This window comes from Homo sapiens, chromosome 6, assembly GCF_000001405.40.
Source record: "Homo sapiens chromosome 6, GRCh38.p14 Primary Assembly".
In the NCBI taxonomy this organism is placed as follows: Eukaryota; Metazoa; Chordata; class Mammalia; order Primates; family Hominidae; genus Homo; species Homo sapiens.
Window position 1 is genome coordinate 3,977,763 of NC_000006.12, and position 11,784 is coordinate 3,989,546.

Consider the following 11,784-nt stretch of genomic DNA (forward strand, 5'->3'; position numbering starts at 1 on the left):
CTTATCTTTTCCCTTCCCTTCTCTCCTTCTGTCCTCCACACTGCCTTTTTTGTTCTTTCTGGGATATGTTATTGACTTTATCTTCCAAAGTATCTGCTTATTTATTTGAAGATTTTTAAAGCTTTTTATTTTTAAATAATTATAGATTCACAGGAAATATTATTTCAAAATTCAAAAAAAGGTACTGGGATGTCTCATGCACCGCCCCCCCAGACTCCCTCACTGTTAACATCCTGAACGACTATAGCATAATATCGAAAATGAAAAATTGAAATTGGTGGTGGCGGCAGCACGGTGGCAGGGGCAGCAAGGCGGCTGCAGCAGCTGTAGAAGAGGTCAGCTCAGCCGGCCAGTTTGAGGAGCTGCTGCGCCTCAAAGCCAAGTCCCTCCTTGTGGTCCACAATGTGCACAGATGAACGAAGTTATGGCAGAGTTAGCTAAAGAACACCCTCAAGTTTCATTTGTGAAGTTGGAAGCTGAAGGTGTTCCTGAAGTATCTGAAAAATATGAAATTGGCTCTGTTCCCACTTTTCTGTTTTTCAATAATTCTCAGAAAATTGACCGATTAGATGGTGCACACATCCCAGAGTTGACCAAAAAAGCTCAGCGACATCTAGTGGCTCCTTCCCACCCAGCACTGATGAACATCTTAAAGACCAAAAAAGCTCAGCGACATGCATCTAGTGGCTCCTTCCCACCCAGCACTGACGAACATCTTAAAGAAGATCTCAACCTTCGCTTACAGAAACTGACTCATGCTGCCCCCTGCATGCTGTTTATGAAAGGAACTCCTCAAGAACCACTCTGTGGTTTCAGCAAGCAGATGGTGGAAATTGTTCACAAACATAATATTTAGTTTAGCAGTTTTGATGTCTTTAGATCAAGAGGTTCGACAGGGGCTCAAAGCCTATTCCAATTGGCCTACCTATCCTCAGCTCTACGTTTCTGGAGAGCTCATAGGAGGACTTGATATAATTAAGGAGATACACGCATCTGAAGAACTAGATATAATTTGTCCCAAAGCTCCCAAATTAGAGGAAAGGCTCAAAGTGCTGACAAATGAAGCTTCTATGATGCTCTTTATGAAAGGAAACAAACAGGAAGCAAAATGTGGATTCAGCAAACAAATTCTGGAAATACTAAATAGTACTGGTGGTGAATATGAAACATTCGATATATTGGAGGATGAAGGAGATCGGCAAGGATTAAAAGCTTACTCAAATTGGCCAACATACCCTCAGCTGTATGTGAAAGGGGAGCTGGTGGGAGGATTGGATATTGTGAAAGAGCTGAAAGAAAATGGTGAATTGCTGCCTATACTGAGAGGAGAAAATTAATAAATCTTAAACTTGGTGCCCAACTATTGCAAGAAATACTTAATTACATTGGGAGCAGTTCATGATTTAGTCCTCAGAAATGGGCTAGGAATAGAAAAATCCTGCTTACTCAGTTACATGTTTTTTGTATTTCACAATGTCGTGCTAAATAAAAGTATGTTACATGTTTTCCCACTAAAAATAGAATGCAATAAACATCTTCAAATTATTAACAATAACTGTATAAAAAAGTGTATCTTTACAGCAATATTAAACATACAGCTACTAGAAAAAAACTGAAATTGGTACAATCTACAGAGCTCATTCAGATTTCACAAGTTACACATGCCCGTGTGTGTTTGGCATAACTTTTTGCAATTTTATCACTTGTGTTGTCTTGGATAGCCACCATCACAATCAAGATACACAACAGTACCATAGCCGTAAGAGTCCCGCATGTTACCACTTTATGAACATACCTATTCCCTCTTCCCCCATTCCTAATCCCTCACAACCAGTAATCTGTTCTCCATTTCAAAAATGATGTTTCATCAATGTTGCATAGATGAAATCACGCAACATGCTTAAGATTGGCTTTTTTTCACTCAGCATAATTTCTTCTAAGCTATGTGTGTGTTGTTTTTCTGTTTTTACTGTTAGTAGTATTTCCACAGTATAAATGTACTACAATTTGTTTAATCATTCACTCATTACAGAACATTTGGGTTGTTTCCAGTTTGGAACTATTATAAATAAAACTGCTATGAACATTTGCATATCTATTTATTTATCTTAGTCTCTACTCTATTATTTATTTCTAAAAGTTCTTTCTTGTTCTCTCATTGTTTCTTTTCTATAGCACCTTCTTCTTGTTTTATAGGTTTAATATCTTTCCTTATCTTTGCAGATTTTAATTTTAAAACAAATGTTTTCTTTTTTTTTTTTTTTTTTGGAGACAGGATCTCGCTCTGCTGCCTAGGCTGGAGTGCAGTGGCTTGATTGCGGCTCACTGCAACTCCGCCTCCTGGGTTCAAGTGATCCTCCTACCTCAGCCTCCCTATCAGCTGGGACTACAGATGCATGCCACCACACCTAGCTAATTTTTGTATTTTTTAGTAGAGATGGGGTTTCACCAGGTTGGCCAGGCTGGTCTTGAACTCCTGACCTCAGGTGATCACCCATCTTGGCCTCCCAAAGTGCTGGGATTACAGGCGTGAGCCACCGCACCCGGCTTTTAAAACAAATGTTTTCTTCTATTCGTTGCATTGTCTCTGTTACCTATGAGTTCCTCTGCTTCTGATTAAGAGTCTGTTCTTCATGTGAACACTTTCCTCAAATATCTGATGAATCTTGCTTATGCATTTATATTTAAGAGTGAGGCACTATAGAGTTTATTCCTCACCAGTGAGGCTAGCTTCACTGGTGAGGAAATTGGGCAGTTTAGTAGTCAGGGTAAATTAGGCTATGTTGTGTTAACAAACAACCCCCAAATCTCAGTGGCTTAGCATAATAAGGGTTTATTTCTCACTAATGTCACAGTCCAACGTGGCCTCCACAGAGGTGGAAGAAAGAGCATGAATGATTGTTTAAAGCCTGAGACACCAGCTCATTCACTATGGAATCTCTCAGAGCAGAAAGCCCCAGTAGAAATTATTAATATGGATAAATCAAAAAATCACAGCAAACACATGTCATCATTGGAAGCTATGGAAATAACTATGAGAAGACATAACCCAAAAACATTTAAAGTATTTATGTCTGTGGAGCTGTGAATACTGGCAGGGAAGATTGGGGCCTTTCTGTACTGATAGATATTTCTTAAATCCTTGATTATATGTTAATTTTATTAAAGGAATACATAAATTTGAAATTAAAAACAAGGATAAGATGAGCATCCACCTGAGTTGCCCATGTCTGAGGAAATGCACTGTTGAAGATGTCATCCACTGTATCAGGAAATCAATATTTCCTATCCAAATCACCAAATGCTAAATCCCTCCTACCGAGTCCTGTATTAGTCTGTTCTCACACTGCTGTAAAAAACTGCCCAACACTGGGTAATTGGAAAGGAAAGAGGTTTATTTGGCTCACAGTTCTGCATGGAGGCCTCAGGAAACTTACAGTTATGGCACAAGGAGAAGCAAATATGTCCTTCTTCACATGGCATCAGGAGAGAAAAGTGCCAGCAGAAGAAATGCCAGACATGTACAAAACCAAAGATCTCATGAGACTCACTCACTATCATAAGAACAGCACGGGGGAACTGCCCCCACGATCTAATCACCTCCCATGAGGTCTCTCCCCCAACACGTGGGGATTCCAATTCCAATTCCAATTCAAGATGAGATTTGGGTGGGGTCACAGAGCCAGACCATATCAAGTCCTAAGGAAATTTGTTTTTGAAGAATGGGCATGTTGTTTTTTGTCACATGATGAAAACTTTGTTCCACAGTGTATTTTCTTTTTGCCTTGTTAACAAACTGACATGTTAAATGAGCATTCAGTCATGAGAAACAGCTTCTCTCAGGTGCCTGGTAACATTTCCTGCCTCAGCTTTTCTCTATGCTTTCACTCATGTGTTCCTTAGTTGTTTTACCTTATACGGTTAAATTGCACAGCCTGTTGCACTATTTGTCTTTAGGAATTGGCTATGTGTTCTGGATGTTAATCTTTTATCTGTTACATATGATGCAAATATTTTCTCCAAGTTTATTGTCTTTTAACTTTAAGGCACAAGAAAGTAGATGAAATAAACTGCCTAAGATCACAGAGCTACTCAGGGACAGAGCCAGGACTCGATCTTGTCAAATGCTCTTTGATTTATACTCCATTTTCCTACTGCAAAGTATTCACATATAAATTATCTTATTAAAAAACCCACAGGATTTGCATTCTATCATAAAGACACATGCACTTGTCTGTTTACTGCAGCACTATTCATAACAGCAAAGACCTGGAATCAACCTAATGCCCATCAACAGTAGACTGGATAAAGAAAATGTAGTATATATATACCATGGAATACTATGCAGCCATAAAAAAGAATGAGACAATGTCCTTTACAGGAACATGGATGGAACTGGAGGCCATTATCCTTAGAAAACTAACACAGCAACAGGAAACCAAATATTGTATGTTCTTACTTACAAGTGGGAGCTAAATGATGAGAACACATGGACTGAAAGAGGGGAACAACAGACATTGGAGCCTACTTGAGGGAGGAAAATGGGAGATGGGAGAGGCTCAGGGAAAAAAAAAAACTGTCGGGCATTATGCTTAGTACCTGGGTGACAAAATATCTGTACACCAAACCCCCGAGTCACGAGTTAACCTGTGTAACAAACCTGCACATGTACCCTGAACTTTTAAAATAAAAGTTAAAACATTAAACACACACGCACAGATTTGGAGTCAGACAATCTAGGTTTATTCCAGTTCCAACACTTACTGCTCTGTGATCTTGAGCAAGATGATTTACCTCTAATGAAACTTCATAGGCTCCTCTTCAAATGGGAATAATGATAATAGCAATTTTCTCTAGTTGTTATGAAAAAAAACACCAGGTATGAGAAATAACATATACATTATAAAGTGTTGAACAAATGGTTTTTTATTTTAAAAAAAAACTTTATTAAAGAGATAGTTTGGGGCATTTTTTCTTTACATTATTTTAAAATGACAATATCCTTCTATGTTAGAAATACAACAATTTTGGAAATCATTTCTAAATATCTTTAGCACCCCACTATTCTTAATGTCATGTTACATGAAATTTACATAATCTAGTTTAGAATCAGCATTACTGGGAAAAAGACAATGTTCCTATATAAATTCTACTACATATAATATATATATGCTACTGTTTATGAGAAGGGTCAATAGGATAAAGAAACTTTCAAAAAATTATATACACATACACAAATACACAAGAACATTTTATATTCATTATTCAATAATCCTTAGAATGATGACAATGCTTATATGTAAAAAATAATTTCACTCTAGAGCAGATTACAAGTAAATTTATCTGCCACATACGAGAATCTATTTACTTATGTTATAGCAACATCTCTTTTCTAAAATAAAAACATGGCAAATACTCAGCTTGATCATCTGCACTATACAACAGAATTTACTCGGAATGACCTTTTGATCATTTGCAAAAAATTCAATTTAATGTTAATGGATGAAGATATTATATCACTGTTGGCAATATTTATAAAAATGTGCTTATGGCTCTGGAAGCAATTCCTAAAAAGAGGTAGTAAATGTTCTGAGACTTCAGAATTGTTAGAAAAAGTTAAGCTTCAGTTGGCGTTTACTGCATATAAGTATGTTGACATATGTTTTCCTGAGCAAATGGCTTATTCTAGATATATACGTTGGTATATTCATTGAAAATTAGATTTATTATGTTATAAAATGTGACTAAAAGCCCATTTAAAGGGCACATATCTCTCATCTTTTGGTTCTAACGTGAAGCCAAATGAGGACAGGCGCATGATTCAGTTTATACAATAAGAAAATTGCCCCAAAGTGGATGAAGCACACACATCAGCAGCTCAGCCCCACTCCGTACAATCCAAGTGCATTCAACAAGTGATATGGTTTGGCTGTGTCCCCACCCAAATCTCATCTTGAATTGTAACTCCCATGATTCCCACATGTCTGTGGGAGGAACCCGGTGGGAGGTGATTTAATTATGGGGGTGGGTCTTTCCTGTGCTGTTCTCCTAATAGTGAATGAGTCTCATGAGATCTGATGGTTTTAAAAATGGGGGTTTCTCTGCAGAAGCTCTCTTTTTGCCTCCTGCCATCCACATACGATGTGACTTGCTCCTCTTTGTCTTCCACTATGATTGTGAGGCCTCCTCAGCCATGTGGAATTGTAAGTTCAATAAACCTCTTTGTTTTGTAAATTGCCCAGTCTTGGGTATGTCTTCATCAGCAGCATGAAAATGGACTAATACAACAAGTAAATCACTGAACATTTAATCCCAGCAGTTCTCTTTTTTCAAACTTCTCCCGTTGATTTTGTGTCAGCCCTGCCTGTGCTATGCTTTGTTGGGGTAAGCAAGCCCTGCATAAATGTTCTTTCCTTAGAGTGAAAAAAATATGCTATAATAAGAAAGGAGAGATGGAGAAGACAAAATAGGAATACAAAAAAAGGCTTCGTGTAGAGTTGACCTGTGTTTCACTCACTGGATAACATCACAGCATATAGATGTTGGTCATGAAGCAAATATGCTTTAGTTGCATACAGCTTAGAAACCTACATTATTTAATACCTTCATCAGAGGAGTATTAAACTCTAGCTTGAATGTCAACACAACAAAAGTTAGGACATGTTGTATAACTGAAGTTTTTCCCAATGTACTAAGATCTAATCTTGAGCCTGTCTGCAAGCATAAAGCTAAATAACGCATCCCATTAATCAATAAAATGCTCACTGGTGTCTTTATCAAAAGTTGTATTTTCCTTCATTGATTGAGTCACATGAAGTGAAACTTGTTCTGCTTAACTAAGATGGTGCTGCTGTACCTTTTAAAGAAAACGAATTAAAGGTTTTATGTTCATGAAAGCACAAATGTGACAAAATAAACTATGCTGACACCGTCAACATCATGACATCATAGATACGCCCAAAGGATCACAGGGATAAGTATTTTTGAAGCCCAAAGGCCTACATATAAATTTCCTGCTAAATATCTATTCTACTTACTAGTCCAAAAACACAATGTCAGATTTTCTAAGAGAAAATGATAAAGAATATACTTTGATATCCTCTCTCCTTTAAGATTTTAAAATAACAACGTGTTTATGGGGTAGTTTCTGCCCAGGCACATAGATTCCTGTTTACGGCCAAGTTTCTAGTATGGTGGTAATAAGCAAGCTTTAACTACCATACAAACAGAAGAAATCATTCCATCACAAAATCTCGATTTCAAACTTTAAATCAAAACCAGAGTATTGAAATTGACAATATTTACAATTCATCATTTTTCAAATAGTTTCTAACACAACAGGGGTGCCAATTTTTCTCTATTCATTTTTGCTTTAAGGAATATAAGGAATATATATTTTCCCAAAGAAAAGTTTTTTTCAGCGTTTTTCTTGGTCACTCTTCCATGCAATTATTTTAGGTGGCCAAAAAGTGCTAAAATTTTTAATTTCTCTTCTTCCAAGTGAGTATCTTTCTAAGTATCACTCTTATCACTTAAGAAGGAAAACTTGACTGGGTGCAGTGGCTCACACCTGTAACTCCAACACTTTGGGAGACCAAGGTGGGAGAACCACTTGAAGCCAGGAGTACAAGACCAACCTGGGCAACACAGCGAGACCTCTCTCTCTCAAAAAAACAAAACAAAACAAAACAAAAGAACACCGATGCTTTTTCTTAAAAAAATGACAACAACAACAACAAAACAACTATATGCTCAAGTACCTACAGTCAAATAAACAGATAAAATTAACTAAATTATTAGATCCCACTTTATCTGTGCCATGGCTATGGTATCACCATATTGCCCCTGATCTCCCACTACAGGAAGAATACTTTCCTCATATCCATTTTCTCTTGCCAAAAAGAAAAAACACCTAACTAGGTTTGAGATAAATTTTATTTTCAACTTTTATTAGCCTTTAAGCTAATTTCTAATTTAAAATGAATCATCCACTGGAGTACTTTACCTTTACATCTGGAAGCTATATGCATTAGGCCCACTGAAAAAAACAACAGCCATTGGTGAGTCTACATTTTGTAAGAATGAGATACGATCAAAGCAACTTACACTTCTTCGCTGGAAATTAGTGCCCTCCTGTAAAGACAGCAGTGGATTCAAAATCAAGAACCAGGCATTAAAAGACCAACAAGCCGCAGCTGTTTGAATTTTCCCTTCCTCTCCTTGTGTTCTTTACAGCTCTATCCACTATTGTGTTGCTGCTCAAAAAGCTACACAAAGGCTGGGCGCAGTGGCTCACACCTGTAATCCTAGCACTTCGGGAGGCCAAGGTGGGCGGATCACGAGGTCAAGAGATCGAGACCATCCTGGCCAACATGGTGAAACCCCATCTCTACTAAAAATATAAAAATTAGCTGGGCGTGGTGGCACATGCCTGTAGTCCCAGCTACTCGGGAGGCTGAGGCAGGAGAATCACTTGAACCCGGGAGGCAGAGGTTGCAGTGAGCCAAGATTGTGCCACTGCACTCCAGCCTGGTGACAGAGTGAGACTCTGTCTCAAAAAACAAACAAACAAAAAACAAAAAAACAAAAATCAAAAAAACAAAGCTACACAAAAACTACTCATAAACTACTGTTTGTTATTATCCAGTGACCTCTGTGTTTGATTCTATTGCACAATCCCTATTTTTCCTTCTTTTTTTTTTTTTTTAGAGTTGGGGTCTTGCTCTATCGCCCAAGCTGGAGGGCAGTGGCATGAGCATGGCTCACTGTACCCTCAAACACCTGGGCTCAAGTGATCCTCCCCGCCCAGCCTCCATAGTAGCTGGGACTATAGGCATGTGCCAACATGGACAGCTCACAATCCCTATTTTTAAACTTCACCTCTGGCTCTTAAATGTCATCATCCTGATCTCCAATCACAACCTTCTAGCTCTCTAGTTTTCCTCGTCCATCTACCTTTTATCTCCACTGAGATCATCTTCTCCTCTTTGGTCCTTTCATTTCTGCCCTCTCTAGTCTAGATCTCACTGTGAGTCACTTTGATCACTCTCTGAAATGGCAGGCTCTATTATTACCCCATTTTCCTTTGTTTTCCACTATTAGCCATCCTGCAAATTCCTATACCAAAATCATCTTTATTCACATTATTAAGTGAAGCTGGAAAAAAAAAAAGCACTCCGCTGAAGATCTGATGTCACCCCAAATGCATGGCTCCAGCCTCAGTTCAGCTTTCCACACTGCTTGCAGAAATTCCTTCATTTATCTTGAGTTTCTCCTCTCACTCCCATGGTAGCTTTTCCATTCCCACTGCCTCTTCTCACATTTCAGTAGATGAGAATAGAAGCCATAGGAAGCAAACTTCCTCAACCTCCAGCCAACCAGAGAAACTCCATTTACATCCTGCTTCCTATGACAGAGAAGGATGGGCCCTACCCCCTATCTAAATCTTTCCAAAGCACCCTGGACTCTGGCTCATGCTTCCTGCTTCTGGGTTGCTCTCTAACCCCGCATGTACGTCCACTTTACTGCCCTAAGGAATGCCCTCCTGCATCCTGGCTTTCCTCCAGCTGCCATGCATTCTCCTGCCTTTCATCCAGATTCGTTCAAGAAGCAGGCTGCATTTCATGAATGCCTTCTTTAGGTTGCCTTCTCTGCAGCCAACATGCTGCAAAATGACCCCTATCACCAAGGCAGTGAGAGTGCTCTCAAGAAGGCCACCACACTCCTCACTGCCATACCGAAAAGTATTTCTCCAAGACTTTTCTTTCTTGACTCTTCACTAAGACTTTCCCTCTTTGGCTTCTGTGGCAACATTCTCCCCTGCTTAGGCCTTCTGTGATAAAGTGCTGATGCTGAAGATGGAACAGCCTCCCAGAGCAGGAAAGGGGATCTTTTCAGGTAGCTGCAATGGTTTGAAAACAGTGTTGTCAAGTTACTTTTTCTCTTGCTGACTTCTCAGTAGTTACTCCTTTCCCGAGAGCCTCTATCAGTTTGCCTTTCTACCTAGTTCAGACTCTCTTAAAGTGGTTGGACTAATGTCACTGGTGGTTTGGGACTGGTGTCAGGTGGTTTCCATTGTTCCTGTTTGTTGTAATCAAAATGATCCTCTTGAGCCCTTTTCTCCCTCATGTTCCTTGTATATGTGAAACAGCACTGCTGTCCCTACTGTTACTCAAGCCAGACATGCAGACATCAGTCCAAATTCCCTCACGTTTGTCACCCAGTCCTTCTGTCTTTTAAATTGTTCACCGTAGCATCCAGTAGACTATTAAAATAGCGGAGTGGAAGTTGGGTTAAGAGGGAGATGTAGAGAGATAGTTTTCTCCTCAAGGAAAACCAGGGGAAATGGCCACAAAGATCCTTGAGGGAAAAAGGCCTGATTTAGAGAAAATCAGGTCTTTTTCTGATTTTTCTGATTACTGTACACAGTCAGTAAAGAAACAGAAGTAAACAAAAAACAAAGTTTTAAAGAAGGGTTAATTAACAGCATCAAATACAGTCCTGTGTGCAAGGAAAGTAAAGGAGAAAAAATGTAACTGCAATTATAAAAAAAAAAATCAATGAATTTATTTTGAGAGATCAGCTGCCGCAGTATGATGGGAACTGGATGTCAGAATATAGAAATCAAAAGGAAAATGATTATGAGGAAATGGTGGAGACTGCCATAAAGAACTCACCCATGGGGGAAAACAACAACAATAACAAGAGAAAGAGACAGCGAGTTAGAGCCCAGCAAGGGTAGCTGGGTGAAGGTATAGCTGTTATAATATTCACCTTGTTAAACTCTTAATATATCTAACAACTTGTCTATAGATTTATTTTTGTTTTCCATTAAAATAGTCATAAATCACCCTCTTTTTCCAATATAGGAGAGTCCAAAGGATATTCAGAAGTAAAGGGGAAATGCTAATATTGTCCAGAAAGGTAGCTGAAAAGTGCACATTTATCTATCTCCTTTCCCCAAAATGCACGGAAATGAACCAAAAGTAAAGAGAAAACCATCTGTGTTGAAACTAGGAAATGAAAATAATCTCATACTGAAGACCCTGAAAATTACCTGCAAACTATAAGGGAATCTGGGCCAAGCAAAAGAACTGCAAGTTGGCAGCATTTATCTATTCTGAGTAGAATGCTAATTTCAAAACTAAGTGAGAAGGCTTAGAAGCACCATGCACACTTGAACAGAAGACTGAAGGCCCTCAAAAAAATGAAAAGCACCTAGCAGAGGAACATGTGTACATCAAGAGTATCAGAACCGAGTAGAAAGTGGGATTGCGAGATTAAGTCATCTTTATCCTTTCTGACCCAGAGTTCCAGTCAGGAACACTCCCCAGGATTATTGGGCCTGCTTCTGGGCCATGGTGGTGGCGAACAAGGCCAGTGTTTAAGAGGATATGCTCTAGTTTTAGGGAGAAAGTATTTGGAGACAGCATGTGAGACTATCCACAGTCTGTTATTACCCATGCAGTTTCGAAGGGTAACGAAATAATAAACTGCCAACACTAATCTCTCCAGCACAAGTTCTAAGGATACTAATGTAGCTCCTAAGTAACTAAAGAGAAAGATAAATCCACATTGTTCCTAGATAGCATTTATTGGATAGAATTTCCTTCCTCTTCCTCTCTTCCTTCTTCCTTTAAGAACTAGGTATTAAACACATGGTATGTACCAGGCATTGTGCTAGACACTGGGAATCCTCACACAAAACAGGGCCTAGTGGGGAAAATACAAGTTAAAGTCATACAAGTGTACTAAGTAAGATAAGAGAGATGTTCAGGGCGCTAT

General features: G+C 38.8%; 1 pseudogene, besides 1 other annotated feature; it reads left to right on the forward strand.

Annotated features, from left to right (window-relative positions):
- Positions 279-1,607, forward strand: GLRX3P2 (glutaredoxin 3 pseudogene 2; annotated as a pseudogene).
- Positions 533-827: a silencer, noted in NCBI's record as "tiled region #14796; HepG2 Repressive non-DNase unmatched - State 12:CtcfO". NCBI's record gives its function as "represses a minimal TATA promoter and a strong SV40 promoter by Sharpr-MPRA in HepG2 cells {active_cell/tissue: HepG2}" and the evidence as "EXISTENCE:reporter gene assay evidence [ECO:0000049][PMID:27701403]".